This window comes from Homo sapiens, chromosome 19, assembly GCF_000001405.40.
Source record: "Homo sapiens chromosome 19, GRCh38.p14 Primary Assembly".
Classification (NCBI taxonomy): Eukaryota; Metazoa; Chordata; class Mammalia; order Primates; family Hominidae; genus Homo; species Homo sapiens.
The window spans coordinates 14,212,867-14,230,253 of NC_000019.10; the positions used below are offsets into that span (position 1 = coordinate 14,212,867).

Here is a 17,387-nt window from a genome sequence, read left to right on the forward strand (position 1 = left end):
TAGCATTACAGGTGTGAGCCACTGCGCCTAGCTAGGCAGGACTATTTGAAAGGCACCAGGGCTAGGCTAGCATGGTGGGAGGCCAGGAGAGGGTCTAGATTATATTCCCAGTGATACTAGGAACCCCAAGAGGGCTTTCAGAAGTGGGTGGCATGATCTTATTTGGATGTTTAAAAGATTATAGGGCTGGGCTTGGTGGTGTGATCCTGTATCCTAGCTGAGGCAGGAGGATTCACGCACACAGGCTTGAGCCTAGGACTTCTGGGAGGTGGTGTGTGCCATGACCATCGGCGTCAATGTGGTGACCCCCCAAGAGCAGGGGACCACCAGGTTGCCTAAGGAAGAGTCAACTGGCCCAGGTTGGAAACAGAGCAGGTCAAAACTCCTGTGTTGATCAGTAGTGGAATCACGTCTGTGAATAGCCACTGCACTCCAGCCTGGGCAACAGGGTGAGAAAAGAAAAAGACCACAGTTGGAATTATTCCCCGCCCCCAACCTATCCTCTCTAAAACCTCCCAACCCTGTCTCTAAAACAAAACGTTAAAGTAAAAATAAATAAAATAGGCCAGGCACGGTGGCTCATGCCTGTAATCCCAGCACTTTGGGAGGCCGAGGCTGGTGGATCATGAGGTCAGGAGATCGAAACCATCCTGGCTAACACAGTGAAACCCCATCTCTACTAAAAATACAAAAAATTACCTGGGCGTGGTGGCGGGCACCTGTAGTCCCAGCTACTCGGGAGGCTGAGGCAGGAGAATAGTGTGAACGGGGGAGGCGGAGCTTTCAGTGAGCCAAGATCATGTCACTGCACTCCAACCTGGGCAACAGAGCGAGACTCTGTCTCAAAAAAACAAATCAATCAATAAAAATAAATAAATAAATAAAAGATTATATGAGTGCTCCCTCAATAACACAGAATTACTATATGAGGCAGGAAATGGGGAGTGACTGCTAACAGGTGTGAGTTTTCTTTAGGGGATGATGAAAAACGTCTTGGAACTAGACATGATGAATGTACTATGACATGACACGACATCGTCCACCTTAAAATGGTTGGTGGTTAATTTTTTGTTGTGGGAATTTCAGCTCAATTAAAAATGCTGGCCGACGGGCGCGGTGGCTCACGCCTGTAATCCCAGTACTTTGGGAGGCCGAGGTAGGTGGATCACGAGGTCAGGAGTTCAAGACCAGCTTGGCCAAGATGGTGAAACACCGTCTCCACTAAAACTATAAAAATTAGCCGGGCGTAGTGGCGGGCGCCTGCAATCCCAGCTACTCAGGAGGCTGAGGCAGGAGAATCGCTTGAACCCAGGAGGCAGAGGTTGCAGTGAGCCGAGATTGTGCCACTGCACTCCAACCTGGGCAACAGAGTGAGACTCTGCCTCAAAAAAAAAAAAAATGCTAGGGGCTGGGGCACGGTGTCTTACCCCTGTAATCCCAGCACTTTGGGAGGTAGAGGCTGGCAAATCACTTGAGGCCAGGAGTTTGAGACCAGCCTGGCCAACATGGAGAACCCCATCTCTACTAAAAATACAAAAAAAGTTGGGCGTGGTGGCACATGCCCGTAGTCCCAGCTACTCCAGAGGCTGAGGCAGGAGAATCACTTGAACCCAGGGGCAGAGTTTGCAGTGAGCTGAGATCGCACCACTGCAGTCCAGCCTGGGCAATAGAGTGAGATGCCAAAAAAAAAAAAAAAGGAAGGAAGGAAGATAAGAAGGGAGGAAGGAAGGAAGGAAAGAAAATGCTAGGAATGCTGGTGTGCTCTTGTAATCCCAGCTACCTGGGAGGCTGAAGTGGGAGGATCACTTGAGCCTGGGAGTTAGAGACTGCAGTGAGCTGTGACTGCAACACTGCACTCCAGCCTGGGTGACCGAGCGATACCCCTATCTCTTAAAATATATATATATATATAATTTATTGATTATTATTATATATTGTATATATTATATAATATTATATATTATAATATTATATATAATATTATCAAAAAATATTGATATAATATTATCAATAAATATCAATAAAATAATAATAATCAATATATATAATTGATTATATATATTATATATATTATATATATTATATATAATTGATATATATAATATATAATATATTATATATTATATAATATAATATATTATATATTATATAATATTATATATTATACATTATATAATATTATATATTATACATTATACATTATATATTATACATTATATAATATTATATATTATATATTATACATTATATAATATATATTATATTATATATTGTATAATATATATTATATTATATATTGTATAATATTATATATTATATTATACATTATACATTATATATTATACATTATATAATATTATATATTATATTATATATTGCATAATATTATATATCATATATTATATATATAATATATAATATTATATATTATATATTATATATATAATATTATATATTATATATATAATATATAATATTATATATTATATATATAATATTATATATTATATATATAATATTATATATTATATATTATATATTATATATTATAATATATATTATATATTATATATTATATATTATAATATATAATATTATATATTATATAATAATATATAATATTATATTTTATAATATATAATATTATATATTATAATATTATATATTATATATTATAATATTATATATTATAATATAATATATAATATATAATATATAATATATAATATATATTATATAATACATAATATAATATTATATATAATATATAATATTATATTATATAATATTATATATAATATATAATATATAATATATAATATTATATATTATAATATATAATATATAATATAATATATTATAATATATAATATATAATATAATATATTATAATATATAATATATAATATAATATATTATACAATATATAATATATAATATAATATATTATACAATATATAATATATAATATAATATATTATACAATATATAGTATAATATAATATATAATATAATATATTATACTATATATAGTATAATATATTATATAATATAATATATTATACTATATATAGTATAATATAATATATAATATAATATATTATACTATATATAGTATAATATAATATATAATATAATATACAATATATAGTATAATATAATATATATTATATAATGTATAATATATACTGTATAATATATAATATATAATGTATAATATATAATGTATAATATATATTATATAATGTATAATATATAATATATTGTATAATATATAATATATATTATATTATATATATCAATTATATATAATATATATAATATATATAATATATACAATCAATTATATATATATTGATTATTATTATTTTTTAATTATACAGGTCAGCCGGGCGCAGTGACTCATGCCTGTAATCCCAGCACTTTGGGAGGTCAAGGCGGGAGGATCGTTTGAGCCCAGGAGTTCGAGACCAGCCTGGGCAGCATAGCAAGACCTGGTCTCTAAATAAATAAATAAATAAATAAATAAATTATATAGTCAATTTGAGAGGGAGCCAGGAGATTCGCGAGGTGATCACCACTGTCATCCAGGTGACAGGCAGGTGATGGAGGCCCAGAACAGGATGCTGGGGGGAAACGTTAGGTTTTGGGCATGTCTTAGGGGCAGAGTCAACAGGACCCCTTACTTTGCACCCTCCTTGAACTCTGCTCATGTTACTTCCTGACCACTCTATTGAAAATGCAAAACACAGGACGGGGCGCGCTGGCTCACGCCTGTAATCCCAGCACTTTGGGAGGCCGAGGCGGGTAGATCACGAGGTCAGGAGCTCGAGACCATCCTGGCTAACACGGTGAAACCCCGTCTCTACTAAAAATACAAAAAATTAGCCAGGCGTGGTGGTGTGTGCCTGTAGTCCCAGCTACTAGGGAGGCTGAGGCAGGAGAATGGCGTGAACCCGGGAGGCGGAGCTTGCAGTGAGCAGAGATCACGCCACTGCACTCCAGCCTGAGCGACAGAGCGAGACTCCGTCTCAAAAAAAAAAAAAAAAAAAAGAAAAGAAAAGAAAATACAAAACACAAAAATTAGCTGGGTGTGGTGGCGCATGCCTGTAATCCCGGCTACTTAGGAGGCTGAGGCACAAGAGTCGCTTGAACCCGGGAGGTGGAGGTTGCAGTGAGCCGAGATCACACCTCTGCACTCCAGCCTGGGCGACAGAGCAAGACTCTGTCTCAAAAAAAAGAAAACTGCAAACACCCCCACCCTCCTCACTCCCTTGATCTCCTCTCCCCTTTATCTCTCTCCAGTCCCAGAGATGTGGGGGGGGGGGGGGTCTCGCTATGTTGTCCAGGCTGGTCTCGAACTCCTGGTCCCCACAGCATATCCTGACCTAGTTTCGTTTTCATTCATTTATCTGTCTCCCTCACTAGAATACCAACTCCCCAGTCCAGAGATGTTTGTTTCTTGTTCACTGCTGTCTACCCGGAGCCTAGGACCGATCCTGGAACATAGTAGGCGCTCAGGAGAAAGCGGGGGAGTGGAGGAAAGCGAGAATCCCGGAAGCCGCCGGGTTCCAGCCTGAGCAGCAGGCGGGCGTTTAAGTGGAGGCGGATTCCTAGTTAGGCACCAGCTGAAAGGGGAGCCCGGCTGGGCTGCGCTTCCTTCCCCGGCCGCTAGGGGCCGCTTCCCCGCTGCTCTGCGGCCGCCAGGTGAGGGGGCCCCGCCCCTTCTCCCCAGGTGCTCAGGGAGTTGGGGTGTGAGGGGACAAAGTGGGGGTGAAGGGAGAGAGCTGAGCGTGTTTGAGATGGGGGCTGCTTAAAGGAAGGGAAAAATGCGTAGGGAGGTTGGGAGGTGTGAGAAGGTGAGGAGACAGCCCGGTGTTAGGGAGAGAGGAGCGGAGAGTTGAGGGAGGTGCGGGAAGATGGGTGATCAACTGGGGAGTCCGGGAAAGTCTGGCAGGCGGAAGGCCTTGCCCTGGTGGCTCCACTGGAGGAAATTTAGACCATGCATGGAAAAGACCGGGACGATTGAGGGGTGGGATTGGCCTGTGGGGTTGAGGATCCCAGGGAAGAAGCCCTAAGCTTTGCTGGACTTGGACTTGGCCAGTGTGTTCTGGGGAGGAAGAGGGATTTCTCAGACCCAGATCCCTCAGACCAGCAACGGGGAGGGACTTCTCCTTTGAGGAGTGAGATGTGCCTGGCAAGCTCACCAGCTAGCTTTTGCAGAACGTGTGGCCAGTAAGTGGCTTATTCAACCTGGCACTGACTCTGCCTCTCTCTCCTTCAAGCCTCAGGGCCAGGATTCATTGTGTAATGAATTGAGTGGTGGGAAAACAGCAATGAATGAGACAGATCCAGTCCCGGCACTGGCCAGTCCTGGCACAAAGAAGGCTGCCCAGCCCTGGGGAAGTGACAGGTAAACTGAGGCAGGGACCTGCTGGCTTTAAATAGCAGTCCCCCTCATGGTGATCTGGGCAGAGAGGACCACTCATATGGAGGCTCTGAGGCTGTTACCAAGAAAAAAGCCGGCAGGATCCAAGCTGCAATAGTGTGATAGGGAGTGTTGGGGTCTGCGGCAACCCAGAAATGCCTGCCAGGTCTAAAGGGATCCTGTGTTTGGGATTAAGGTGGATGTGGGGGCTTGCAGGCTCTGTGGAATGGAGATAGGTTGGGAAGGGGGTTGGGAATAGGAGTGAGGGGTTATAGGTGGGTCCCAGAGAGGTAGAGGTGATGGCCACGGGAAGGTAGAAGGTGACTCCTAACCTTGCATGAGCTCATTTCAGGGGACACAAAGCCAAATGCTGACCAGGGAATGAAAATGCAGAAATTGGGCAGGTGTGAGGCGGTGGTGAAGGACAGGGTAGCTGAAGTTGCACCACCCCCCCTTTTCCTTAGGCACCCGCTTGCTACCACTCAGCTCCAGCTGTGCGCTACCACGTGGGAACTCAGGCTCAATGTTGCCAAAATAGCTTCTTCAAGAGAAGCCAGAAATCACGGTTGTTGCGCAAAATTCCCTGAGCTTTAAATATCCCATGGGGATCTACTAAAGTTAAATTGCTGCCACCCAGCAATTCCATTCCTGGGTTGATTCCCAGTGGGAACAGGAGCTTAGGGTCACCTAAAGACATATCCATGGATGTGCCTAGCAGCTTCATTCATGATCACCAAACACCAGACACCCCTTAAGTTGACCATCGACTGGCAAGTGGAAAAGAAATGGGAGGACATTCTTATAATGGAATATAACGCAGCAATGAAAAAGAATATACTACTGACGCATTCACAGCATGGATGAATCCCAGAGACATAATGTTCAGTAGGAGAAGCAAGATAACAAAGAGAATACCCCGAGTGATTTCATTCTGTGTTGTTCAAGGCCAGGCAGAAGTAACCTATGAAAAGAGTTGGGGAAGCCCAGGGTTTCCTTACTTCGGCCTCATTGACATTTGTGGCTAAATGATCCTGCGTGATGGGGGCTGTCCTGTGCACTGTAGGACGTTGAGCAGAATCCCTGGCCTCCAACCATTACGTACCAGCAGCACCCCCCAGTTGCGACAAATTTCTGTTGTTAGGGGCATAATCACCATCAGATGGGAGCCACTGGTCCGGGTGTAGTGGCTCACACCTGTAATCCCAGCACTTTGGGAGGCCGAGGCGGGTGGATCACTTGAGGCCAGGAGTTCAAGCCCAGCCTGGCCAACATGGTGAAACCCTGTCTCTACTAAAAATACAAAAAAATTAGCCAGACATGGTGGCGTGTGCTTATAGTCCCAGCTACGTGGGAGGCTGAGGCAGGAGAATTGCTTGAACCCAGGAGGCAGAGGTTGCAGTGAGCAAAGAAAGATAGCACCACTGCACTCCAGCCTGGGTAACAGAGCAAGACTACGTCTCAAAAAAAAAAAAAAAAAAAAAAAAAGCCACTGGCTTGGTGATGTTTTGAGGCAGCCCACTTCCTGGAAAGTAGCCCAGGGAGCCTCCTGGGAGACTGGACTGTTCTTGATCTTGAACTAGGTGACAGTGATAAGGGTGAAATGTATTTCAAAAATCCACGGACCTGTGCTCCTAAGATTTATGTGTTTCACAATAAAGACATTAACTCTACAACATGGATGACCCTTGAAAACATTTGGAAAAGGGAAAGAAGCCGGACACAGAGGGTCACATAGTGTATGACTTCCTTTATATGAAATGCCCAAAACAGGTAAACACATAGGGACAGAAACAGATTGGTGGTTGCCAGGGGATGGGGGATGGGGAATGGAGATTGACTGCTAGTGGGGATAGGGCTTCTTTTGGGGGTGATGGAAATGTTCTGTAATTAGAGGTGATAGTTGCACAACTCTTTGAGTATACAAAAGTCCAGTGAATTGTACATTTTAAAATGTACAATTGGGGCCAGGCACAGTGACTCATGCCTGTAATCCCAGCACTTTGGGAGGCCGAGGCGGGCAGATCACTTGAGGTCAGGAGTTCAAGACCATTCTGGCCAATATGGTGAAACCCTATCTCTACTAAATATACAAAAATTAGCCAGGCATGGTGGTGCACGCCTCTAGTCCCAGCTACTCAGGAGGCTGAGGCAAGAGAATCACTTGAACCCAGGAGGCAGAGGTTGCAATGAGCAAAGATCGCACCACTGCACTCCAGCCTGGGTGTCACAGCAAGACTCTGTCTCAAAAAACAAAAACAAAAAAATGTACAATTAATCTTGGCTGGGCACAGTGGCTCATGCCTGTAATCCTAACACTTTGAGAAGCAGAGGTGGGAGGATTGCTTGAGCCCAGGAGTTTGAGACCAGCCTGGGCAACATAGCAAGACCCCACCTCTACAAAATTTTTTTTTTTTTTTGAGACAGAGTCTTGCTCTGTTGCCCAGGCTGGAGTGCAGTGGTGCGATCTTGGCTCGTTGCAACCTCTGCCTCCCAGGTTCAAGCGATTCTCCTGCCTCAGCCTCCCAAGTAGCTGGGATTACAGGCGCGTGCCACTACACCTGGCTGATTTTTGTATTTTTAGTAGAGACAGGGTTTCACCATGTTGGCCAGGCTGGTCTCGAACTCCTGACCTCAGGTTATCCACCCACCTCAGTCTCCCAAAGTGCTGGGATTACAGGCGTGAGCCACAGTGCCCGGCGAAAATTTTTTTTAATTAGCTGGGCAACATGGAGCCTGCCTGTAATCCCAGCTACTTGGAAGGCTGAGGTGGGAGGATCGCTTGACCCCAGGAGTTTGAGGTTGCAGTGAGCTATGATTGCACCACTGCACTCCAGCCCGGGGAAACAGAGAGAGATTCTGTTTCTAAAAATAATATAAAATAAAATGGCGAGTGTTACGTTAGGTGAATTTTATTCCAAAAAGGAATTTAAAATTTTTTTTTAATTTTTTTTAAAAAAGGAATTTTTTAAAAACAAGGAGTTAACCACACAGGCCAAACAACACATCTGGGGCCAGTTTGGCCCCAGGGCTGCCGTCATTTGGGAATGGAGGGAAAGGAAGGGGACGGGGTGGGGGGGTGGGAGGGTAATGCACCATCCAGGAGTTGTGGGCGTTCTTGGTGAAGGGTGGGGGATGACGCAACTTGGAGGCAAAAGAAAGTATGTCTCGGCTCAGGGGAGCGCTCCCTCTTAACCCAACCTGTCAGCCCTGGAAAGAAATCAGCTACGGGTCGGAGGCCAGCCAGCGAACTGTCAAGGAAGTGCAGAGTTCTGACGAGTTAGAGAAATGACAACCGCTCAGCCCCGCCCGGCCTGACACCCTGGCGGTGGCATGATGAAGTGGTGCTTGCCGGGTGGGCGGAGGATGCTCTCTGCGAGCTTGCGGGAAAGTGGGGGTGCTCACCCGAGTTCTTCTGCAGTGTGAAGAGAGGTGGGTTCGGCCTCCCTGGTAACAAAGGGCGGACGGGGTGGCATTTGCCCCTACCCATCCCTCCTGGAGGGAGAGCCATTCCCGTGGGTGCAAGGAAGAGAGAAGACAGCGGGCTTCTGGGGGCACGGCTGGGGGTGCAGGGTCTGAGTCTCCGTTGGCTTCAAAAAACTGAATGATGGCCGGGCGCAGTGGCTAACACCTGTAATCCTAGCACTTTGGGAGGCTGAAGCAGGCAGATCACCGGACCTCAGGAGTTTGAGACCAGCCTAGCCAAAATAGTGAAACCCTGTCTCTACTAAAAATACAAAAATTAGCTGGGTGTGGCTGCAGGTGCCTGTAATCCCAACTACTCGGGATGCTGAGGCAGGAGAATTGCTTGAACCCTGGAGGCAGAGGTTGCAATGACCCAAGATTGCACCACTGCACTCCAGCCTGGGCAACAGAGCAGGACTCCACTCAAAAAATAATAAAATAAAATAAAAAACTGAATGAGTGAAGAGAGACAAAGAAAATTAAGGAGGCCAGGCACGGTGGCTCATGCCTGTAATCCCAGCACTTTAGGAGGCTGAGGCGGGCAGATCACTGGAGGTCAGGAGTTTGAGACCAGCCTGGCCAACATGGTGAAACTCTGCTCTACCAAAAAGTACAAAAATTAGCCAGGTGTGATGGCGGGCCCTGTAATCCCAGCTACTCGGGAGGCTGAGGCAGGAGAATGGTGTGAACCCGGGAGGCGGAGCTTGCAGTGAGCCGAGATCGCGCCACTGCATTCTAGCCTGGACGACAGAACAAGACTCCGTCTCAAAAAAAAAAAAAAAAAAAAAAAGAAGAAAGTTAAGGCCTCCCGAGTAGCTGGGACCACAGGCGCACACCACAACACCCAGCTAACTTTCATATTTTTTGTAGAGATAGGGTTTCGCTATGTTGCCCAATGTGGTCTTGAACTCCCGGCTCAAGTGATCCTCCTGCCTCAGCCTCACAAAGTGCTGGGATTATAGGCGTGAGCCACTGCACCTGGCCTGCATATAACTTTGGACTTCCCAAAAACTTAACCACTGATAGCCTATGGTTGATCAAAAGCCTTACCAATGACATAAACAATCCATGAACTCGTATTCTGTATGTTCTATATATTACATACAGTATTCTTAGAATAAAGTAAGCTAGAAAAAAGAAATGGTATGAAAATCATGAGAAAGAGAAAATGTATTTACCGTTCATGAAGTGGAAGTGGATTACCATAACCGTCTTCATCCACGAGTCTTCCGATGGAATAGGCTGAGGAGGAAGAGGAAGAAGAGGGGTTGTCTCAGGGGTGGCAGAGGCGGAACAACATCCACTTACAAGGGGACTCAGGCAGTTATGGCTCAAGCCCGTGTTGTTCAAAGGTCAACTGTAATAGAATTTTTTCTTTTTCTTTTTTTTTTTTGAGGCAGAGTCTCGCTCTGTCACCCCGGCTGGAGTGTAGTGACGAGATCTCGGCTCGCTGCAACCTCGGTCTCCCGGGTTCAAGCGATTCTCCTGTCTCAACCTCCCAAGTAGCTGGGATTATAGGCGCCCGCCACCACACCCGGCTAATTTTTGTATTTTTAGTAGAGACGGGGTTTTGCCACGTTGGCCAGGCTGGTCTGGAACTCCTGACCTCAGGTGATCTGCCCACCTCGGCCTCCCAAAGTGCAGGGATTACATGTGTGAGCCACTGCACCCAGCCAGTAGAAATGTATTGCTTACAGTTCTGGAGGCCAGGAAGTCCAAGATCAAGGCACTAGCAGATTTGGTGTCTGGTGAGAGCCCACTCCACCCCCCAGGTTCAAGCGATTTTCCTGCCTCAGCCTCCTGAGTAGCTGGGATTACAGGTGTGCGCCACCATGCCTGGCTAACTTTTGTATTTTTAGTAGAGATGGGGTTTTGCCCTGTTGGCCAGGCTGTTCTTGAACTCCTGACCTTAGGTGATCCACCCACCTCAGCCTCACAAAGTGCTGGGATTATAGGTGTGAGCCACCGCACCTGGCCAAGCGAGTTATTTTTATTTTATTTATTTGTTTATTTGAGACAAGATCTGGTTCTATTACCCAGGCTGGAGTGCAGTGGTGCGATCTCGGCTCACCGCAACCTCCATTTCCCGGGCTCAAGCCATCCCCCCACCTCAGCCTCCCAGGGAGCAGCTGGGACTACAGGTGCGCACCACTACACCCAACTGATTTTTTTTTTTTTTCAGACGGAGTCTCACTCTGTCACCAGGCTGGAGTGCAGTGGCGTGATCTCGGCTCACTGCAACCTCCGCCTCCCAGGTTCAAGTGATTCTCCTGCCTCAGCCTCCCGAGTAGCTGGGATTACAGGTGTCTGCCACCATGCCTGGCTAATTTTCTCTATTTTTAATAGAGACGGGGTTTTACCATGTTGGCCAAGATGGTCTTGATCTCCTGACCTCATGATCCACCCGCTTCGACCTCCCAAAGTGCAGAGATTACAGGTGTGAGCGACCGCACCCGGCCAATTTTTGTATTTTTTGTAGAGATGGGGTTTGTCATGTTGTCCAGGCTGGTATCGAACTAGTGAGCTCAAGTGATCCGTCTGCCTCAGCCTCCCAAATTGCTGGGATTACAGGCGTGTGCCACTGTGCCTGGCCTATTTATTTATTTATTTATTTATCCAATGTTTGTTTTAAGTTCAAGGGGGCACATGTCCAAGTTTCTTATTTGGGTAAATTGTGTTTTGCAGGAGTTTGGTATACAGATAATCTTGTCACCCAGGTAATCACCATAACACCCAACAGGTAGTTTTTCAATCCTGACCCTCCTTTTACCTTCCACCCTCAAATAGACACCAGTGTCTGTTGTTCCCATCTTTTTTTTTTTTTTTTTTGAGATGGAGTCTTGCTCCGTTGCCCAGGGTAGAGTGCACTGGCATAATTTCGGCTGACTGCAACCTCTGCCTTCCGGGTTCAAGAGATTCTCTTGCCTCACCCTCCCTAGTAGCTGAGATTATAGGTGTGTGCCAGCACGCCTGGCTAGTTTTTGTATTTTTAGTGGAAATGGGGTTTCACCATGTTGGCCAGGCTGGTCTCGAACTCCTGACCTCAAGTGATCCACCTGCCTCAGCCTCCCAAAGTGCTGGGATTACAGGCGTGAGCCGCTGTGCCTGGCCTGTTGTTCTCACCTTTGTGTCCATGTGTACTCAGTGTTTAACTACCACTTATAAGTGAAAACGTGTGGTATTTGGTTTTCTGTTCCTGCATTAGTTGACTTAGGAGAATGGCCTCCAGCTCCATCCATATTGCTGCAAAGGATATAATCTCATTCTTTTTTTTTTTTTTTTTTTTTTTGAGACAATCTCATTCTGTCACCCAGGCTGAAGTGCAGTGTCGTGACCTCGGCTCACTGCAACCTCCGCCTCCCAGGTTCAAGCAATTCTCCTGCCTCAGCCCCTCAAGTAGCTGGGACTACAGGCACCTGCCACCATACCCTGCTAATTTTTGTATTTTTTTGTAGAGACGGGGTTTTGCCATGTTAACCAGGCTGGTCTCGAACTCCTGGCCTCAAGTGATCCACCCACCTTGGCCTCCGAAAATGCTGGGATTACAGCCATGAGCCACCATGCCCGGCCTCATTCTTTTTTAATGGCTGCATAGTATTCCATGGTGCATATGTACCACATTTTCTTTATCCAATCCTCCATTGACGGGCACCTAGGCTGATTCCAAGTCTTTGCTATTGTGAATAGTGCTGCAATGAACATACATGTGCATGTGTTTTTATAGTAGAACAATTTATATTCCTTTGAGTATATACCCAGTAATGGGATTGCTGGGTCAAATAAAATAGAAGAATTTTAAATTGTTTGAGAAATCTCCAAACTGTCACACTCAATTATAAGGGCAATAATCTCACCCATGAGAATGGGGCCCTCCTGGCCTAATCACTTCCCAAGAACCCCAACTCTTCCAACATATGGATTTGGAAGGGACACAGACATTCAAACCATAGCAGTGACCTTATTTGGACAAAGCGTTTTTGCAGATGTAATTAAGTTAAGGATTTTGCAATGAGATCATCCTGGATTAGGGTGGCCCAAAATCCAATGATAAATGACCTTAGAAGAGAAGGGGGTTAGACACAGAGAAGAAGGCCAAGTGAAGACAGGCAGGGCTTTCAGCAGTACAGACACAAGCAAGGAACCATCAGAGGCTGGAAGAAAAAAGGACGAATCCTCACCTAGTGCCTTCGGAGGGATTGCAGCCCTGCACCACCCTGATTGCAACCTCTGGCCTCCGGAATGGTGAAATAATAAATTCTTGTTGTTTCCAGCCACCTAGTTTATGGTAATGTATTTCAGCAGCCCCAGGAAATGAACACAGGCCCTGATATCCAATTCCACAAGCACTTGATGAAGCGTCAGGAAGGGCCCGTGGTACAGTGGAGGGGGAGGGAAACTCGAAAATGGGGAGTGTTGAGAAACGGATGGACAGTGAGGTGGAGGACCAGAGAGGCTTTTTTTTCTTTTCTTCTTTTTTTTTTTTTTAGACAGGACCTCTCTTCGTCACCCAGGCTAGAATGCAGTGGCGCAGTCGACCTCCTGGGTTCAAGCGATCCTCCTGCCTCAGCCTCCCGAGTAGCTGGGACTACAGGCACATGCTATCATGCATGGCTAATTATTTATTTATTTTTTGTAGAGATGGGGTGTCACTGTGTTGCCCAGGCTAGTCTTGAGCTCCTGGCTTCAAGCCATCCTCCTGTCTTGGCCTCCCAAAGTGCTGAGATTACAGGCTTGAGCCACCATGCCCAGACTGGGGAACCTCTTTATAGCAGAGGTGATGACCCAGAACTGAGCTGGAGCATGCCACAAACCTACAGGGACAGCCAGTAGGTAATATAAATACGCCAAGCAGCCAAGATAAAAAGACTGACTGCACCAGCAACGGAACAGCTTCAGTGTCAGGGAGACAGTAAGGGGGGGTGGGACTATGGCAAATAATGATAAGAATGAGTAACATTTATCAGCACTTGCTAAGCCCGTTCCTTATATAGCATGAACTCATTTAATTCAGTTGTGTTTTTTTTTTTTTTTTGAGACAAGTCTTGCTGTGTCACCCAGGTTGGAGTGCAGTGGCACAATCTCGGTTCACTGCAACCTCCGTCTCCCAGGTTCAAGCAATTCTCCTGCCTCAGCTTCCCGAGTAGCTGGGATTACAAGCACGTGCCACCACACCTGGCTAATTTTTGCATTTTTAGTAGAGACAAGGTTTTGCCATGTTGGCCAGGCTGGTCTCGAACTCCTGACCTCAGGTGATCTGCCCATCTAGGCCTCCCAAAGTGCTGGGATTACAGGCATGAGCCACCACGCCCAGACAAGATTTCATCTTTAGAGGAAGTCAGGCATCCAGATTTTTATGCAAAAATCACCTGAGGTCTGGCACTGGTGGCTCAGGCCTGTAATCCCAGCACTTTGGGAGGCTGAGGGGGGCGAATCACTTGAGTTCAAGAGCTCAAGGCCGCCTGACCAACATGGTGAAACCCTGCCTCTACTAAAAATAGAAAAAAACTAGCTGGGCCTGGTGGCCTTTGCCTGTAATCCCAGCTACTTGGGAGGCTGAGGCAGGAGAATCGCTTGAACCTAGGAGGCAGAGGTTGCAGTGAGCAGAGATCACACCACTGCACTACAGCCTGGGCGACACAGCGAGACGCCATCTCAAAAACAAAAACAACAACAACAACAATGAAAAAGCAGCCTGTATTTAAAAGCTAGCAAGTCATGGGCCGGGCGCGGTGGCTCACGCCTGTAATCCCAGCACTTTGGGAGGCCGAGGTGGGCAGATCACAAGGTCAGAAGATCGAGACCATCCTGGCTAACACGGTGAAACCCCGTCTCTACTAAAAATACAAAAAATTAGCCGGGCGTGGTGGGGGGCGCCTGTAGTCCCAGCTACTCGGGAGGCTGAGGCAGGAGAATGGCGTGAACCCGCAAGGCAGAGCTTGCAGTGAGCCAAGATCGCGCCACTGCACTCCAGCCTGGGTGACAGAGTGGGACTCCATCTCAAAAATAAATAAATAAATAAATAAATAAATAAATAAATAAATAAATAAATAAAAGCTAGCAAGTCATTACAAAATGTTTTTAAAGCCTGCATGGACCAAGCCAATTACATCTGTGGGCTGGATTCAGCTCTGGGGCGGACACAGAGGGAGGGGCGGGGCATTTAGTGAAGGCGATGCAAAGCATCATGGGTGAGTTGGGGACCACATGGGCCAGGGGGTTTGACTAGGTGGTGCCTAGGCGGGTGCCAGCATGTTTGTCGGGGCTGGCGCGGTGGAGGGGGCGTGGTTTAAACTGAACAGGTGTTTTGGGTCTAGGTTGGAAAGGACCTTTGGAGCCACGATAACATTTTTCAATTTTGAAGAAGTCAGTGATAGCTTTTAAACAGCTGAATGACTCAGTCATGCCTGTCTGTCCCCATCCCCCAATCCCAACACCCAGAAAGCTGTGAATCAGGCTTTCTTTGGGGGTGGAGGGACAGTAGATCCATCCATGAAGGAAACAAACTAAACAGCCCCCGTCTTCCAGCGCGCTCACAGCCGCCGGGGAGAGGGGGAAGGTGTCCTTAGTAAGGTTAGGATAGGATGGCAGCCGTGATGGTGGGACCGTGGCAGAGGGTTAGTGGTTGTCTGCAGATATGGGAGCCACTGCTATGTGTTCAATGCACTAAGGATGCAACGACGAACAGGACAGACATGGCCCTGCCTTCAAGGAAAAAGACTGTGAAGGAGGAAGGAAATAAGGAGAGACGGTAATTCCAGGGGGTGATGAGAAAATGTAAAAATTAAAATAGCAGGATGGGGGATGGGGCTCAGATCGGCAGCCTACAGGCCCAGGAGACAGAGCGGGTGGGCAGGAGGATGGAGGATGGGGAGCGGGGGTCCTCAGTGGCTCACAAGCCACCGCTTGCTCCCTGGGACCCAGCAGCCTGGCTGGGCCTCTGTCTCCCCAGAATCACCCTATCACACCAAGAACAAACCCACGGCTGACATAGATTCCTGACTCCGAGCCCAAGCAAGGGGGAGAAAGGGGAGGAAAAAAACACCCATCTGTTCTTCCTCTGATGGAATGTGATTTTTCACCCAGTGCTTAAACCTCGAGCTTCTCCTCCCATTTCCTCTCGGCAGCCGCAGCGAAGCGATATAAATCGCTGTAAATGGGTTTTCCCGGCCGGTTGCCGTGTTGTTTTAATAATGGTTCATTTTCTGCCTGGGGGGAAAAATAGTTGGTAAAGAAATTGAGGAGGGGGGGTTCATTTTGTGTGTGTGTGTGTGATTGTGCGTGTGTGTGTGTGTGTGTGTGTGTCCTGTTGCCTTAGAGAAGATTCCCGAATATTCCACTGGGACACCAAGTGACCCGTCCAGTTGGGGAATTGGGGAATTGCTGGTCAGAGAACCAGTGCATCCCACTTGCCTGGACAAAAGGGATTCCTTTTTTTTTTTTTTTTTTTTTTTTTTTTTGAGACTGAGTCTTGCTCTATTGCCCAGGCTGGAGTGCAGTGGTGCAATCCCGGCTCACTGCAATCTCCACCTCCCTGGTTCAAGCGATTCTTCTGCCTCAACCTCCTGAGTAGCTGGGATTACAGGCGCCCGCCAGCATGCCTGGCTAAGTTTTGTATTTTAAGTAGAGACAGAGTTTCGCCATATTGGCCGGGCTGATCTTGAACTCCTGACCTCAAGTGATCTACTCACCTTGGCCTCCCAAAGTGCTGGGATTACAGGCGTGAGCCGCCGTGCCTGGCCGAAAGGGATTCATTTGCAAACCTCCTGGGCACATATATTAAGCACTAACTGTGTGCTATGCCTGACTAGGTGCGTGGGATATGTAAATGAATAAATCTCCCAGGCCCTGACCTCTCTGGGGGCTCACATTCTAGAAGCAGAGAGAGCAACATTAAGACATCACTCTGCCAAACTAGGTAATTACAATTGTGGAAACTGCTCTGAGGAGACTGTTGAGTGCCACGGGAATGGAAAACGGATCTTGGCAGGGCTGGGCTGAGCATGGTGGCTCACAGCTACAATCCCAGCACTTTGGGAGGCTGAGGCAGGAGGATCGCTTGAGGCCAGGAGTTTGGGACCAGCCTGGACAACATAGCAAGACCACCAACTCTAAAAAAAAATTTAAAAATTAGCTGGGCGTGGTGGCACATGCCTTCTAGTCCCAGCTACTTGGGAGGCTGAGGCAAGAGGATCACTTGGACCTAAGAATTTGAGGCTGCAGTGAGCTATGATCATGCCATTGTACTCCAGCCTGGGCCACAGAAAAAGATCCCATCTCAAAAAGAAAAGAAGGCTGGGCATGGTGGTTCATGCCTGTAATCCCAGAACTTTGGGTGGCCGAAGTGGGTGGATCACTTGAGGCCAGGAGTTCGAGACCAAACTGGCCAACATGGTGAAACCCCGTCTCTACTAAAAATACAAAAATTAGCCAGGGGTGGTGGCTCATGCCTGTAATCCCACCTACTCAGGAGGAGGCAGGAGAATTCCTTGAACCTGGG

General features: G+C 46.3%; 1 pseudogene, besides 6 other annotated features; it reads left to right on the plus strand.

Annotated features, from left to right (window-relative positions):
- On the plus strand, positions 186-457 carry RN7SL231P (RNA, 7SL, cytoplasmic 231, pseudogene; annotated as a pseudogene).
- Positions 4,374-4,684: a silencer, noted in NCBI's record as "fragment chr19:14328052-14328362 (GRCh37/hg19 assembly coordinates)". NCBI's record gives its function as "represses an EF-1alpha promoter that drives an FKBP-Casp9 reporter gene in an ReSE screen in phorbol 12-myristate 13-acetate-treated (for megakaryocytic differentiation) K562 erythroleukemia cells {active_cell/tissue: K562(+PMA)}" and the evidence as "EXISTENCE:reporter gene assay evidence [ECO:0000049][PMID:32094911]".
- Positions 4,374-4,695: a biological region, named in NCBI's record as "ReSE screen-validated silencer GRCh37_chr19:14328052-14328362".
- Positions 4,586-4,695: a silencer, noted in NCBI's record as "silent region_10239". NCBI's record gives its function as "represses an Ori minimal core promoter by ATAC-STARR-seq in GM12878 lymphoblastoid cells {active_cell/tissue: GM12878}" and the evidence as "EXISTENCE:reporter gene assay evidence [ECO:0000049][PMID:35858748]".
- Positions 8,383-8,906: an enhancer, noted in NCBI's record as "H3K4me1 hESC enhancer chr19:14332061-14332584 (GRCh37/hg19 assembly coordinates)". NCBI's record gives its function as "activates a minimal SCP1, AML or CMV promoter by ChIP-STARR-seq in naive H9 embryonic stem cells {active_cell/tissue: H9 hESC(naive)}" and the evidence as "EXISTENCE:reporter gene assay evidence [ECO:0000049][PMID:30033119]".
- Positions 8,563-8,642: an enhancer, noted in NCBI's record as "active region_14158". NCBI's record gives its function as "activates an Ori minimal core promoter by ATAC-STARR-seq in GM12878 lymphoblastoid cells {active_cell/tissue: GM12878}" and the evidence as "EXISTENCE:reporter gene assay evidence [ECO:0000049][PMID:35858748]".
- Positions 8,653-8,712: an enhancer, noted in NCBI's record as "active region_14159". NCBI's record gives its function as "activates an Ori minimal core promoter by ATAC-STARR-seq in GM12878 lymphoblastoid cells {active_cell/tissue: GM12878}" and the evidence as "EXISTENCE:reporter gene assay evidence [ECO:0000049][PMID:35858748]".